This window comes from Homo sapiens, chromosome 7 (assembly GCF_000001405.40).
Source record: "Homo sapiens chromosome 7, GRCh38.p14 Primary Assembly".
Classification (NCBI taxonomy): domain Eukaryota; kingdom Metazoa; phylum Chordata; class Mammalia; order Primates; family Hominidae; genus Homo; species Homo sapiens.
In genome coordinates, this window is record NC_000007.14 from 158,666,451 (window position 1) to 158,683,451 (window position 17,001).

Sequence of the window (17,001 nt, forward strand, 5' to 3'; positions counted from 1 at the left end):
CTGTATTTTTGAAACCACCCCCAGCATAGATATTAGTATTCCCACTTTAAAGGTAAGAAGCAGGCTTAGAGTGATTAAGTACAAGATCATAGCACTTTTATCTAGTCTGCCACGCTGCCTTTCATTATCACACAAATGCACAGATCAGAGCTGCACGGGCCACACACTGCTGAAGAAATAGAAGTAGACTTATTGGCTGGGCACAGTGGCTCCCGCCTGTAGTCCCAGCAACTCAGGAGACCAAGGCAGGAGGATCGCTTGAGGCCAGGATTTTGACGCCACCCTGGGCAACACAGGGAAACCCTGTCTCAAAAAAAAATAAATAAATAAAATAAAAAGAAGACAATGCATTGAAGGGAGAGGGTTGACATCTCCTGGCCCACTGGGCTCAGCCCAGCAGCCCAGGCCTACCACAGCTGACAAAGGAAACAAAGAGAAAGTATAACTCTCAATCCTTCTAGAGCTGCATGTACAAGACCCTCCACTGGGCCAGCACACCCATTACTGAGGTGTGCACGCCAGGCCCGGCAGCCTGGCTTCATGTGCCAGGTTGTTCCTGCCCATAGACAATGCCCTCCCGTCAGCTCCAACAGCTGTCCTCTGGCCAGCCAGACTGCCTCTTATACTCATGTCATTCTGTAACCTTAACTTTCAAGGGAAATTAGCTTGCATGCTCGTCACAAACCTTTCCAGACACCTCACAACCAAATGGCTGTCTGCCTTGCACTTGCAAAGATAAGGACTGAAACGCAAACGTTCTGCCTTCTTCCTCTGCTCTGGCGCCCAAACTTCCTGGTGGGCCAGAGACCCTGTGTCCCTCCGCCTCCCTCAGAGACCCTGTGTCCCTCCTCCACCCTTAGCCGCTACTGTGTCCCTCCGCTACTGTGTCCCTCCGCTCCTTAGCCACTACCGGATCCCTCCGCCCCCCCTTACCCACTACTGGGTCCCTCCGCCCTCCTTACCCACTACTGGGTCCCTCCGCCCTCCTTACCCACTACTGGGTCCCTCCGCCCGCCTTACCCACTACTGGGTCCCTCCGCCCGCCTTACCCACTACTGGGTCCCTCCGCCCTCCTTACCTACCCTGTGGCCCTCCACCCGCTTACCCACTACTGGGTCCCTCCGCCCTCCCTTACCCACTACTGGGTCCCTCCGCCCTCCTTACCTACCCTGTGGCCCTCCACCCTCTTACCCACTACTGGGTCCCTCCGCCTTCCTTACCCACTACTGGGTCCCTCCGCCCGCCTTACCCACTACTGGGTCCCTCCGCCCTCCTTACCTACCCTGTGGCCCTCCGCCCTCCCTTACCCACTACTGGGTCCCTCCGCCCTCCCTTACCCACTACTGGGTCCCTCCGCCCTCCTTACCCACTACTGGGTCCCTCCGCCCTCCCTTACCCACTACTGGGTCCCTCCGCCCTCCTTACCCACTACTGGGTCCCTCCGCCCTCCTTACCCACTACTGGGTCCCTCCGCCCTCCTTACCTACCCTCTGGCCCTCCACCCTCTTACCCACTACTGGGTCCCTCCGCCTTCCTTACCCACTACTGGGTCCCTCCGCCCTCCTTACCCACTACTGGGTCCCTCCGCCCTCCCTTACCCACTACTGGGTCCCTCCGCCCTCCTTACCCACTACTGGGTCCCTCCGCCCTCCTTACCCACTACTGGGTCCCTCCGCCCTCCTTACCTACCCTCTGGCCCTCCACCCTCTTACCCACTACTGGGTCCCTCCGCCTTCCTTACCGACCCTGGGTCCCTCCGCCCCCCCTTACCCACTACTGGGTCCCTCTGCCCTCCTTACCCACTACTGGGTCCCTCTGCCCTCCTTACCTACCTTGTGTCCCTAGGCCCTCCCTTACCCACTACTGGGTCCCTCCGCCCTCCCTTACCCACAACTGGGTCCCTCCGCCCTCCTTACCCACTACTGGGTCCCTCCGCCCTCCTTACCTATTACTGTTTTCTGTTTTGTTTTACTGAAGAGTTATTCTTTTTTTATAAAATAATGGTAGAGTGGTTTTAAGTGCTTATCTTTTAGAGATACATTCTGAAATACAAAGAAAACAATATGATGTCTGGAATTTATTTCAAAATAGTCCGGCAGTGTGGCCTGGATACAGTTTAGATAAAACAAGATCGGACATAGCAATAATTGTTGAAGCTGGGTGATGGGTGTATCTAATTCACTATATTAGTCTCTCTGCTTTTATATATGTTTGAAAATTCAAAATAAAAAATTAAAACAAAAAAAGTAAAAATATTCACAAAAAGTTTTCTCCAATAATTGCCTTAAAGTCTACTTTGTTTTCTGGGTTTTTTGGTCCAACTTTTAAGTTCAGGGGTACAAATGCAGGATGTGCAGGTTTGTTAAATTGGTAGACATGTGCCATGGTGGTTTGCTGCACAGATCATCCCATTACCTAGGTATCAAGCCCAGCATCCATTAGCCATTATTCCTGATGCTCTCCCTTCTCCTACCCTCCACCCTCCAACAGGCCCCAGTATGTGTTGTTCCCCACCATGTGTCCACGTGTTCTCATCATTTAGCTCTCATTTATAAGTGAGAACATGCGGTATTTTGTTTTCTGTTCCTGCGTTTGTTTGCTGAGGATAATAGCTTCCAGCTCCATCCATTCCCTGCAAAGAACATGATCTCGTTCCTTTTTATGGCGGCATAGTATTCCATAGTATATATGTACCACATTTTCTTTATCCAGTCTATCATCGAAGGGCATTTAGGTTGGTTCCATGTCTTTGCTATTGTGAATAGTGCTTCAATGAACATACGCAAACATATATCTTTATAATAAAATGATTTATATTCCTTTAGGTATATACCCAGTAATGGGATTCCTGGGTCAAATGGTATTTCTGCCTCTAGGTCTCTGAAGAATTGCCACACTGTCTTCCACAATGGTTGAACTAATTTACACTCCCACCAACAGTGTAAAAGCACAGAACTACAGTTTTAACAGGCTGTTTTAAAAAATGCCATCAAAATTGCAGCCAGTATTTTTATTGAAATTGACATGCTTGGCCGGGCGCAGTGGCTCACGCCCATAATCCCAGCACTTTGGGAGGCCAAAACAGGTGGATCCCCTGAGGTCAGGAGTTCGAGACCAGCCTGGCCAACATGGTGAAACCCCATCTCTACTAAAATTTAAAAAAAAAAAATTCGCCGGGCATGGTGGCACGTGCCTGTAGTCCCAGCTACTCAGGAGGCTGAGGCAGGAGAATCACTTGAAGCTGGGAGGCGGAGGTTGCAGTAAGGCAAGATTGTGCCATTGCACCCCAGCCTGGGTGACAGAGCGAGACTCTGTCTCAAAAAAAAAAAAAAAAAAAAAAAAAAAATTGACATGCTTACTCTACATTTTTTTAAGAGATAAGGTCTCACTATGTTGCCCAGGCTGGTCTCACACTTCTGAGCTTAAGTGATCCTCCCACCTCAGCTTCCCAAAGTGCTGGGATTACAGGTGTTAGCCACCTCACCCGGCTGTTACTCTAAAGTTTATATGAAATGCAAAAGACCTGAAGTAGCCAAAGAATTCTGGAAGAACAGCAAAGCTGGAGAATGCACACTGCAAGACTTACTGTAAGATCCACACAGAATAAACGGATCAACACAACAGGACAGAGTCCAGAAAAGGACCACACACATGGTCAATGATTTTCAACAAAAGCATCAAAGTAACTCAATTGCATATGACATTGGGTGTTAATACTACATTGGTCACTCAAAATATCCTTTGTTTTCTTCTAATATAAAAAAATTCACAGATCAAAACTCAAAACACACAACGTAATATGTACTACATTCAGTGACAAGATCCCCATCATTGGCTGGGCACGGTGGCTCACACCTGTAATCCCAGCACTTTGGGAGGCCAAGGTGGGCAGATCGCTTGAGCCCAGGAGTTTGAGACCAGCCTGGGCAACATGGGGAAACCTCATCCCTACAAAAACTACAAAAATCAGCCAGACATGGTGGCACACTCCTGTGGTCCTAGCCACTTGGGAGGCTCAGGAGGGATGATGGCTTGAGGTTGCAGTGAACCAAGATCACACCCCAGCACTCTAGCCTGGGCATCAGAGTGGGACCCTGTCTCCCCCTCACCTCATCACCCTAAGCAACTGACACTAAATTCTCGTTCTCTTCAAAGGATATTTTACCCATATCTGAGCAATATTTACTTATATATATGTCTCCATTTTATTCAGCTGGTAGCACACCAGGACCACATCTACACTATGCTTTTATACTTCCATATCTTAGAGGCCTTTCCAAGGAAGCCCGACAAAAAGTTCCTCCTTGTTCTTTTCATGGCCACACGGCACCACTTCTCTTATGAATACACAAATCTGTCTGGCTGACCCTACACTCTGGCGTTATCAGTCTGTTTCTGGATCCTGTGCCATAGCAGAACAGCACTCAAAGTAAATTTCTGAGAAGCTACTGTGTGGAGAAAGTTCACAATGGTACCAAATAATAATGAAGTCAAGAACATTATAAGCAATATTCTTGGCAAAAAGCTGAAGAGAACTAGAGCTGAAAGAGAACAATCACTTCAGTAGTTTATAAAACATCAAAACGCACATCTCTCATAAAGTGGGTGTCTCCCTCCTTCACTCTGTGTGGGGCAGGGGGGTGGGGGTGGGGGGTGGCTCATACTAGACACTCTCCTCATAAAGCAGGTGTCTCCCTCCTTCACTCTGTGTGGGGCAGGGGGGTGGGGGTGGGGGGTGGCTCATACTAGACACTCTCCAGAAGTGCTCACCAGGTGCCAAGTATCCAAATATTACACCAAATATCTCACTGAAAACCTTCATACATGACGAAAATACAATGGAAGGCAGGGGTGCTTACATTAATGTCTTTCAGAAAGAAAACACATTGATAATATTTCTAGAACCTTTGATGAAAAACACAAAATAACATTTTTGACAGAGATAACTGGTCAAATCATATCAGTTATCAGTTTAAAATGTGGAATTAAAACTACTTTCTTTCTGTTTGATGAACACATGTCCCTATTTCATGTCATAAGTAAAAAAGCCCTATTCATCCTACCTTAGCAGCCCTCACAGCTTTGATCTTCAACAGCATGTCCACAAAAGCTACCCTCACTTTCTCCGAATTGTCGTGGAGACTGTATCTGAGAGCTGGAAGGAGCTGCTCTAACAATGGGTGGCTCAGTTTGTTGTCCAAAATCATTGGCAGACACTGCAACAGAGAGAAAGATAAACAATTCAAAATCAGAACATGCCAATGAAAGGTTCAGGTAGGAAAACTTCATTAAAGAAAACATTCGGTTCCATCTTTATTAGAACTACTAGTGAAATAAATATACCTATGGAAAATACCACTTTTTCTAGAACTATTTCATATAAAAGGCATACTTTTAATGAACCAGTATAGGTCCAACCACTGCTATTTGGTCCATCCATTGTTTTGTTCAAATAAGATTAAAGCAATTATAAAAGAAATCTTTAATGCTCTCTCTCAGCTAAATTTTAGAGAATTTTTGAGTTGAAAGAAACACAGAATAACTACTGGTCACATGGTCTCCAAAGGCACCAAGTCCAAGAACTCTGCATTTCCTGACTCGATACTGCATGAGGATTGGAGGGAACAGAGCCAGCGTGTGTGACTCGAACGCACTCTCGGCTGACTACAGTGGCCACGTAGCAGGTGGCACTCCTCCACAGGCCAAGGCTCAGTCTGGGCCCCCAAACTCCAGCACTGCTTAAGCTCTACTGCCTTCTCCATCTAGTTTCAGGAGAAAGGACATTTTCACAGGTTTTTATTAAAAGTATATACGGTATTCCAAACACATGTGTGTGTGTGTGTATATATATATATATATATATATATATATATATATATTTTTTTTTTTTTTTTTTTTTTTTTTTTTTTTGAGACGGAGTCTCACTCCGTTGCCCAGGCTGGAGTGCAGGGGCACAATCTTGGTTCACTGCAAGCTCTGCCTCCCGGGTTCATGCCATTCTCCTGCCTCAGCCCCCCAAGTAGCTGAGACTACAGGCGCCCGCCACCACGCCTGGCTAATTTTTGTATTTTTAGTAGAGACGGGGTTTTACCTTGTTAGCCAGGATGGTCTCGATCTCCTGACCTCGTGATCTGCCCGCCTCGGCCTCCCAAAGTGCTGGGACTACAGGCGTGAGCCATCATGCCTGGCCACATATATTTTAATGACGATAATTTTTTCAAAAAATTTCAAGTATATACAGCTCTTCTTCCAAAGCACTCAAGGGCAGACTGATTTGAATCATCTGCTCCACCTGTGTCCACAGCCTCCTCTTGATCCTGCCCTCCCACTGGACACCGGCCACCGGCCACCACCTACCTTGCCAGTTCCCCCAATCCCACAGCCCCTGTAGCCCCTGCCATAACACTGTGTTCTCCTAATTCTCCTTCAACTTCTCTGGTCTTTCTTCTGTAGATTCTCTGCTGACTCTTCCTCTACTCCAGAGCCCACTCATCCCTCCTCACAGATGACCCATCTGGGCAAGGGAGGCATCTCAGAGTGGCCCTGCAAGGGTTTCCTCAGAAGCATGAAAGCACCAGACGGTGGTCAGAAGGTCAGGACCAAGAGAAGACCGGCCAGGGAGCTGCAGCCACTTTGGATGACAGCAACAGGAAGGAGCAGGTGAACCTCAGACACCAGGAAGGGAAAGACAGGACTTGGGTGAAGGAGGAAGAAGCAAGAACAGCACGCAAGTGAGTGACTCAGCAGATGGCATCATCACTTCAAGGAGAAAGAGGAGCAAGGGGGAGAGAGGAAAATAAATAAAACTCTTGGATGGCAGCAGGTTTGGAAAAGATGGTCATCAACTCAGCAGTGGAGACAGGGTGGTTGCTATGACGTACAACCAAGGCCCCATCAGAAATGAAGCACTCACCCCAGCTGTCCTGGGGCTGCTGAGCTGCCCTCGCCATCAGCATGCTTGGGGATGGCCTCCTGAAGAAAATGCCTTCTTCTTCCCGGGCAGCCAGTGTGCAATAGTGAATCAGCATGGGCCCAGTCTGAAGGGCTCTGCTGGCTCCAGAGCTGCCTGTGGGTCTGCACGAGGCTTTCCCAGGCTGTGTCACGGCTTAATGTCCCTTCCCTTACACAGGTGTGCACCCCAGGAGCACTTCCTAATCTGCATGCTGTGGATAGTCTGAATCTCAGAGCTACCTGCTGGTCACCTGAGCAGAGCTCTCAAAGAAGACGCTTGTCTGTAAACTGGGACCAGCCGCATGCAAACCACAGTCAGAGCAAGGCTGGAAACCGGATAGCCAGGGGGAGCCCGTCACAGTGCAAGAGGCGCACGGCTCCCTGGCTCCTCAGCCAGCACTTGAAGAGTAAGAGTATTCAACCAAAGACCAGGAGGAAGAAGAGGGACTGAGGTTTTACCACAACATCCAGAGGGACAAGGGAATGGTGTAGGAATGAATTCTGCTCAGAGGTCAAAAAAGTCTAGAGAAGTGGTCATGTGAAATTCACCTTGGCTAGAAATGCTTTACTGGAGTAGTGGACATAGAAGACGCTTTATAGTAGACTGGGGAGTTGCAGGAAATGGAGATAGACTATTTAGGTGACCACTAAACTAAGACTCTTTTGAGAGTAAGAAGGTTGCTCCTAACAATTACTGCAGAGCAACAGGCATGAGCCCAAATGTCTGATCACTCAACAAACACAGACATGCTCCTCAGAATATCTTTCTCTGCAATGAGGAGAAATGGGGGAGCCTCTGCCTCGGATGGAGATGCGAACATGCTTACAAACCTATAGGAAGGACACTGCTGAGAGGGAGAGGTTGAATATGCACAGAAAAAAAAAAATTTTTTTTTTTTTTTTGAGACAAGGTCTGGCTCTATCACCCAAGCTGGAGTGCAGTGGCACAATCTTGGCTCACTGCAACCTCTGCTTCCCACGCTCAAGCCATCCTCCCACCTCTGCCTCTCAAGTAGCTGGGACTACAGGTACACACCACCATGCCCAGCTACTTTTTTTTGTACTTTTTGTAGAGACAGGGTTTCACCACTCCGCTCAGGCTGGTCTCGAGCTCGTGAACTCAAGCAATCCACCTGTCTTGGCCTCCCAAAGTGCTGGGATTACAGGTGTGAGCCACTGCACCTAGCCCAGAAAACTTTTCCAATACAGAAAATAAGCAAGCAGGTTCCTGAGAAGTGGGGAGGAAGATCCACAGAAGCTCCCACTAGGGCATGGCCGTGAGGCCCAAGAGCTGCTCTGAAAATGTCTGTTTTGCACCTGAGAGAAGAGGAAGTCACCTGCTTTGTGCTCAGGGGAGTCAGAGCTTCTAAACAGTTGATTCCAGTAGCAGGAAAGTGAGATCAGTTCTTCTTAGGTCATCTCACAGTACCTCAAGAAATTCTCTGAATTGGCCTCTCTGAGAGCTTTACAGATTCTCCAAACCCTCTCTCCAAGAGCATTTGCTTTTGCAGCCTGGGTAGCCCCCTCCCTCTGGTTCATTCCACACCTGGCCGTTTCACATTTTCTCACCAAAGTCAGGGGGAAAAAAGATCAGTGGCCACCCCACTACCATCTAACATACATATTACAATTTCTATAAACCTGAAGACAGTTCAGGTTGCTTAGAAAATAAAATGTGAGTTCTTCTTGCAAGGTTTGAGCTACAATTGGTGTTGGTGATAGGTGGGAGATACTAAAAAATTACTTAAGTGAATCCAAATATATTATATGTACAAGATTCTATGCAAAGCATATTTCTCCAAGACATTACACAAAGAGACAAAAGAGAATAAATTCAACAGTACTGGGACCCCTTCCCCCCTTACACTAAAAACTACTATTAGTTCAAGTCATCATTTTTTGTAGAAAACACTTTGAATTTGGTTTTTAAAAACCTTACTTTGGATATATGACAGGTCAAAAATGTTATCTTTGTGGAGTAGGATTACAGGTATTATTTTAATCTTTTTCTTTTCCTGTTTTTCTAATTATTCTACAACAAATAAACATTACTTACATAATTTAAAAAATCTTACCTTAAAGACAGAACAACGAACATCAGCTGAGCTCGTGTCAAATGCCAGTTCCCCAGTCACCTTCTTCAGGAGGTCAATAAGAATGGTCGGGGGCATCATTTCCCAGTACTTAGAAGTTATTTTACAAACACCAAGGATCCCTGTGGAACGGACCATCGGGTAAGGATCTTCTAAAAGGCTCTATAAGTAGGAGGGGAGAAAGGCTTAAAAACCTTGACTTATTTCCCGAAATCCACATCTGCTTCACACGTGAGCACTTCAGGGATTCGTAACTTAGAGAAACTTTGAGCATAGAAATACTGGACACATATGGATTCCTAGACCTGAGATTACTTGCTATCGCTTCTAAAGCAGAGTATTTAAGATCAAGCCAGAAACATGGGGTGCCTCATGTGCCACATCCCCTGACAGCAGGGCCTCAAAACCAGCTCTGTCATTCAGTGAGACCTGCACACTCAGCTGACCATGGCAGGTGTTCAGATTAGGCATGGCCCACGTACACCACGCTTTTGAATTCTAAAATGCTGTAATGCATTTTAGAGCCCAGAATAAAATAATTCTACTTGTAATGAACTAATCCAGGCCATGATCGTCAGTGGTACTAAAAATTCAAAAACAGACAATGAGGCAATAAGTACCCCGATGGGAGTATTCGACATCAACAGGGAAATAATCTCACGAAACAAAATCCCAAATACATGAATCGGATCAACTCTCTCATTTAACTACCAATTTATAGGAAACACAAAGGGCAGAGGGACACACTAATGGCATCACAGGAATGGGTTCTATAAAATCCAGACTGCTGGAAACGTCATAGAATAATTTGGCTTCTTCAATGACAACAAAAACAGCAAGTTTTAAGAAAACAAAACACAAAAAGATTATGGCAAGAGAGCTCGTGGTCCAGGAGACTTAAGCAACATGTCAGTTAGTCATAGCACATGGGCCTTAGTTAGAGAAACATTCAAACAAAACGAGAAAATGAGAGCAACGAATGGGTACCCAAAGACACTAAGCAATCATCGTTAATTTATCTTTAGCTGTGATCATGGCATGATTAAAAAAAAAATTATCTTTTATCAATACCTTCTGACCCATTTAGAGCTGAAATGATATGATGTCCCAAATATGTTTCAAGACAGGGGAAGAAGAAATCAGATTGGGATTAGTCAGCAATGAGTAAAACTGTGTTGTGGGCACACAGGGGTTATTACTCCAGTCTCTTTTTTATTATGCATGACATTTTCTATTAGAAACGTTGAAAAACACAACAGAATTCTTACTACTTTAATTAGAAAAAAAGATTTCAAGTTAAAATTAAGCATTTACCCCATCTCTTCCCCAAAATTTGACCAAAATGATCAATTTCTATTAGCAATAATAGAAACAAAAAGACTGAGAAATTTCTGTAAGAGAGGGAATAAGGAATAGATTCATGGAGAAAAGAGCATAAAAGGTTGTAACCTAGACATTCCTAGGTAAGGGTGCTCTAAAGACAGGAGGCTGTGACCTCAGAGAGCTCACATCAGCCCCGAACCCAGAGCCCAGGTTACAGAGAAGAGTTTGTGGCAAGGGCTGCAAACAACCCCTGATGAGGCATACAGGCCAGCAGGAGTTCAGGGGCAAGGATGTGCTCCCCAGGATAAAGTCTTACAAATGGTTTCTAAACCACGTGTGTCATCTGCCAGGAAGAGATACTGGGCAACAGACAAAGAAGAACAAAAAAAGAGCCAGCAATAACTCTAAGCCTCCAGAAAAGCAAAAGAAGGAAGAGCAATGCCACCCAGAAGGAAAGGGCCCTTTGTACTTGGGTACCGAGGGGTCACCTGCCTGCCTGCTCTTCCTCCACAGAAACTAAGGGAAGTCCTCCTGCTGTTGCACTCTGCCCATTTAGGCAAACCTGAGACATGACTCTACACAACTAGAGAAGAACACCTGCTAACTACCTTACCAACCCAATCCTTTATCCAAACATAAGAATGGAAAAGATGACCAGTCATTTAAGAAAAAGCAAATAGGAAGAAAAAAAGATGATAAAAATAAAGCAAAAAAAAAAAAAAAAAAAAAAACAGAAAAGAACTTTAGGAATCTGAAGGCCTGTCCTTGGGATTCAGAAGTTTTTATACATTTTGTTTTCTATTAATTACTTTCAATAATAATCTTTAAAAATAATAAAAATATATTCCAGACAATCACCTTACAACCACATCCTCTCTGGATTCAGTGTCCAGACCTGTTTGCAATTACACCATCACCAGAGAAGCACTCAAAATGACAGCACATGACTTGCAATGCTGTTTCTGTCGCATCCCTTCATTTAAAAACATTCAAAGAATCCTTTTCTTTTTTGAAACAGGGTCTTGCTCTGTCACCCAGGCTGGAGTATAGTGGCACAATGTCAGCTCACTGCAGCCTTGACCTTCCAGCCTCAAGTGATCCTCCCACCTCAGCCTCCCTAGTAGCTGAGACTATAGGCATGCACCACAGTGCCCAGCTGATTTTTTTTTTAATTGGTATAGATGGGGTTTCGCCATGTTGCCCAGGATTGCTCAAGCAATCCTTCTTCCTCGGCCTCTCAAAGTGTTGGGATTACAGGCGTGAACCACTGCACCTAGACCCTTTTTTATTTTAAAAAAAAAAAAAAGGTTCTCCATATTACTCAGGTTTAAGAAATACCAATAAAGCAAAAAGCATGAGAGAACAGTTAAGGTACACAGAGGATACAGGAAATAACCACTGCTCTTACTTATTTATCAGATCACCTCCTTTGTCTCCTCATGATAGAGCCTAATTTCCATCTAAAGGTTGAGTTAAAGCCTCAAGAGGTGCAGCACCAGGGACAGGAGCTCTCAGCCAGCTTTGGTGAACAATGCCGCAGGCCAGACCCAGCTGGTACCTGCTCCTACACAGCCCACAGTGCTAAGAATGGTTCATATTTCTTAATGGTTGGAAAAAATGAACAAATTAACATTTTATGGCATGTGAAAATTACATGAGATTAAAATTTTGTTGTCCACAAAATTTTTTTCTTTTTTTAAAATAAGAGTCAGGGTCTCGCTCTATCGCCCAGGCTGGAGTGCAGTAGTATAATCATGGTTCACTGTAGCCTTGACCTCCTGGGTTCAAGCGATCCTCCCATTTGAGGCTGCAGTGAGTGATGATCACGCCACTGGACTCCAGGCTGGGAGACAGAGCACGACTCTGTCTCTAAAATAAAATAAAATAAAATAAAATTTAAAAATAAGGAATCTTTAAAAAAAAAAAAAGGAATTGTAGATAAATATACATAATGTACACAGCAAAATACTAATGACTTCATTTAGGGATGTGTGTGTGTGCTTGAAGAAGTATACAGATATTTATTACACTTTTTTTTCTTTTTATTTTTTGAGACAGGGTCTCACTCTGTCACCCAGGCTGGGGTGCAGTTGTGTGATCATGGCTCACTGTAGACTTGACCTCCTGGGCTGAAGCCTCCCAAGTAGCTGGGACCACAGGCGTGTGCCACCACACCGGGCTGTTTTTTTGTTTGTTGTTGTTGTTGTTTTTAACTTTTTGTAGAGACGAGGTCTCACTATGTTGCCCAGACTGGTCTCAAATTCCTGGCCTCAAATAGTCCTCCTACCTTGCCCTCCCACAGCGCTGGGATTACAGGCGTAAGCCACTGTGCAGGCCTATTATACTATTACTTTAACTTTCTGCATGTCAGGTTTTCCATAAGTTAGAAAAGAAAAAGAAAAAAGGGAGCACTTCAGAAGCACCACAGGCAACAGCATTACAACAGCACTTTGTTGTCATTGTTTCCTAAAACTTTACTACTTAGGACAGTAGATAGTATGCACTGCTTAAGTAAGCTGTGTTAGGAAATACAGACTAAGTAGATGAAAAGAATCCACAATACTCCTTGGAAATAAATGCCGCATCTTAACATCCTAGCACCTCATCTGAAAAATCACCTGCCACAGGCATTATTTGTAGGCTTGCCCTGAAATATAACCAGTGTTTGCTCATTATGCTACCCAACACCTTTAGGATAGGCAATATCGCAATCACACTTACAGAGAAAGACACAGAGAAGTTAAGTGACTTGCCCAAAGCCACATACCTATTAAGTGAGAGTGGTGGACTCTGACCCCAGAGAGCAGGGGGCTGACACCAGAGCATGTGCTTTACCCACCATATGACACCACCTCTCCATTGGGGAAACAACAGGCATATGCATAAAATGTTTAAAACCACACATAGTAATAAATAATTAAATGTCCCAAAAGTAGAAAAAGACACCACAGGTCCACGCTGTTATAGAAGGCCCCAGGGAGAAGTGGCATCTCTCTGAAGAACAGTCCAGGTTTAGAAACCATGCCATGTGGGAGCAGAGCTCTGGCGGTTACAGGGGAGGTGGGGACACACACAAGCAGTACATGCCACAGCCTGGACAAAGCTGATATCTGTAAGAAGCTTGACCACCTGAAGTACGTACATAGAGCTCTTCAAACTGTTTCTGGATTTCACTATCCATTTCAATAGCATGAAGGTTTGGATCCCTAATAGGAAATGCTTCAACAAACAACAATGCAGCATTTGATCGAACTTCAGAGTTTCTGGCCTATAATAATAAAAGAAGAGTATCTCAGAATCCCAAAGAGTTAACATACGAAGGCTTAAGTACAGTGTTCCCAAAGTAACACTTTAATTATCTTGATACAGATTTATTTTCAAATTACAGACAATTATAACGTTTAAATTGACCAAACATTGCTCAGTTCAATGTCAACAGATACTATGAAAAGATAAAGCTTCCTCACTTCAAAGCCCACTTCATGTCACTAAGAAGTGGTCACCCCACATCCTCACTAAAGATACCAGGTTGTCTGCACTGAAAGTTATTGTGTGTTTGTTAGATCTCAAGGATCTGGACAGCCCTGGACAGCCCAGGCCAGCGCGGCAAACCACCCACAGCCTCAGCTGGTTTGCTTTACGGCATGCCTCTAATCTCCTTCCCTAAACATGGTTACTTAAAAATAACTGTGTAGTTAGCACTAAACCAATCCAGATTTCCAGTTAAATGAAACCAAGAAATGCTTTTAATAAAAGAAAAAAACATTTGTTCAAAAATTTCAGAAAGCATTCAGTCTTCAGCCTTATCTTTACTATTTTATTGTAATTTGGACTTAGAGTTTGCTAAATTCAAAAGCACAAGTAGTACATTCCAAACACGGATAAACTATTTGAAATGTATACCTTTAATCCTCTCCAAAGGATGGGCTTATATAATCTATAAAGCATCTCTTCCACTCCCTGCCGAACTTTCTTTTGATGGTGAAAGTAACTCAGAACCTAAGGACCAAAAAAAGGAAAAGGAAGGCATTAACAAAAAAATAAATAAATAAAATAAAATGGCATTTGGAAAGAGCAACAGGGAGAATTGTTCTCTCCACCACAAGTAGGCTCTGGCTGGCATCCACATGTCATGACAATTCTTCAGCAGGAGTAACTTCAATGGATATAGGACAGTAGTAAATGCAGTCAATCACAAGAAAGAATCTACGGCTGAAATAAAAAGATTAATGGCCTTGGGCTATAAAATGGTTTGGGTTCTAGTTTCTGCTATTCTGCCAACAGCCACATAACCTCAAAAAAAGACTCGTTTAAACCTCTGACCTTCAGGATAAAATGGAAAAGGGGAGATTCCTGAATGGTTCTAAGAGCTCACGCTTGTTCCAAAACATTAACTAACCTCTTTATTACCAACATGTGGTAACTGTTTCATAACTTTGTAACAAGGAGGTGTCACACTTAGTGACCCCTCACTGTATGAGATTAATTTAGGTATCAAGTTCCTCCCAAAACTTATGAAAAAATCAGAAAATGATCATTCTTGTAGCTTTCATTCTTCTTTTCCTACTCACTTCTTTTCCAGTCAGAATCTTCCCAAAATTCTTTGTAGCCTCATGTCCCTAACAACAATTAATTTTGCCTTACTTCTCTATTCACACCTTTTGGGGCTAAACTTTATTAGTGAAACATGAAAATTTTGAAAGATTAAACAGGCTGTAAAAGAACAGCCTACACTTTAAGTGAGCTTGTATCAACTTAACCCTAGAAGAGCTGCAGTATGGGGATTATTTTTTTCTGATTATTATTTTGTAGTTTGTATTGATGGTGATAAGTGACATTAGTCTATAGTTTGCTTTTTGTGTACAATACTATCAAACTTTGATATCAACAGTACACTTGCTTCATAGAAAAATTTTCTAAACAGCTTAAGACTTAATTCACATGCCACAAAATCTACTGTTTTAAAGTATACAATTCAGTGGCTTTCAGTATATTTAGAGCTATGCTACCATTGTTACTGTCTAATTCTAGAACATTTTCATCAACAATGTTGAGATTTTTAATTTCAAATGATGTCTGAAGCACTGCCTGAAACCTCTTTCAATATCAATAAAATGACTTATCAGATAAATTTAATAGTTATCAAATAAAAACAATTTGAGGAAGAAACTATAATGTGTTATAAGTTGTGACAAAAACAATTACTTGGAGTTGAGTAACACGTTTCACTTGAGTGAAATCTAATATTCTCCCTTTAAATTCTTTTTGTGCATTTTTCCATAAATTTACCAAATAGTGATATCTATACTTATAATATCTTAATTACTCAGACTACCACAGCAAAAATAACATATGAAAACATACATAGTTTACATATAAACTACACATATAGTTTACATAAACATAGTTTACATAAATACATAGTTTAATGCAATTCTACTAAATAAAATTTGAAACACCAACTCATCTATGTGAAATAAATAACCCAAACTGACTACAACTAAATAAAGCCACACTGGGATGGGGGTGGGGGGTGGGTAGGACAGGGAGTTCATTGAATATATTTATCCTAAATATATGCAATCACGATTTTTAAATCCTCTGGAAAACTCAGTAGTCTAGATAAATCTCTGGGTTCTTTATCCTTGTGTAACTGAAATTAAATCATCAATAATGCAAAGAAACATTTTCTTATCCACTCAAAATTAATATAATTAGTATATTTACATTCTATAAATAGCAGTAGTTTCACTCTACAACAAAACAAAGAAATGAGTAGTCTTTATTCACTTGGTTTCTTGACATATGGTTGCCAAAACTAACAGCAAGCAAACAAGGCATCCCATGGGTTAGAACACTGATCAACAGCAGCTGCTTAATTTAAATAAACACAGCAGACCAGATTTTCCCATTCCTCCTGCCAGGATCCTTAAGATCCATCAAACACCTATCAGTGTAGTAATGGCACTGATGATAGAATCTTATCTAGTCAGTCCATTTACAATTATTAATATAAAGGTAAAGTTCATATCTAAATTCTGAGATTAATCTAAATTCTGAGATTACCTTTACAGAACAAAATATCAAAAGAAACAATCAAAACATTTATTCATTTGGTTTGCAGAAGAGCAAAATTGGAATTTAATAAGTAAAATAATAAAAATAATTTCAAATACCCTCTAGGATCTTTGAAAAAAATGATAGTGGCCATTAGAAACCAATAATTCTGGAAAATCTCAAGACAGAGAATTGAATTTAAGGTCATTCAAATACAATACTAACCATCTCAACAATACACCTTTGCTTTCCTCATTAAAACTTTGGTGGCAGGAATAAAACTGCCAGACATCAAATATCAAGGTTCTGAGAAATCCCCCTAACTGATGTCTGTGAAAGCTTAATTTTAAAATTTAACCAAAACAATTATCTAAAAACAAAACAGAGGAAACATTATTTCAAAAACAATCTGTTCACAATCTTACCTCCCGCACTTTGGAATGCACTGGAGACCTCCTCGGAAGGTGTATCCCGTGGAACATGAAGTCCTGGATGCAATCATTTTCAATCGCCTGAAATAACAAATGCAATGCAAAGCACTTGGTGTGTGTGTGTCCTACTGACGACCTGACAAGCA

At 42.9% G+C, this 17,001-nt stretch overlaps 1 protein-coding gene across 20 annotated transcripts in view; it reads right to left on the reverse strand.

Annotated features, from left to right (window-relative positions):
- The window catches only part of NCAPG2 (non-SMC condensin II complex subunit G2), a 73,636-nt gene that overhangs the window by 35,282 nt on the left and 21,353 nt on the right, over positions 1-17,001 (reverse strand). For 18 of the 20 annotated variants that reach the window (XM_047420547.1, XM_017012376.3, XM_005249547.4 and 15 more), the window contains 5 exons: positions 16,850-16,936; positions 14,271-14,366; positions 13,510-13,635; positions 9,027-9,206; positions 5,064-5,216 (listed from right to left, as the gene is read on the reverse strand). In XM_047420547.1, the coding sequence (XP_047276503.1) occupies positions 5,064-5,216; positions 9,027-9,206; positions 13,510-13,635; positions 14,271-14,366; positions 16,850-16,936 (642 nt within the window). Of the gene's footprint in view, positions 1-685; positions 824-1,945; positions 2,043-5,063; positions 5,217-9,026; positions 9,207-13,509; positions 13,636-14,270; positions 14,367-16,849; positions 16,937-17,001 lie in introns of those variants that run through there. The other 2 variants (NR_104054.2, XM_011516362.2) reach the window with 2 other exon arrangements.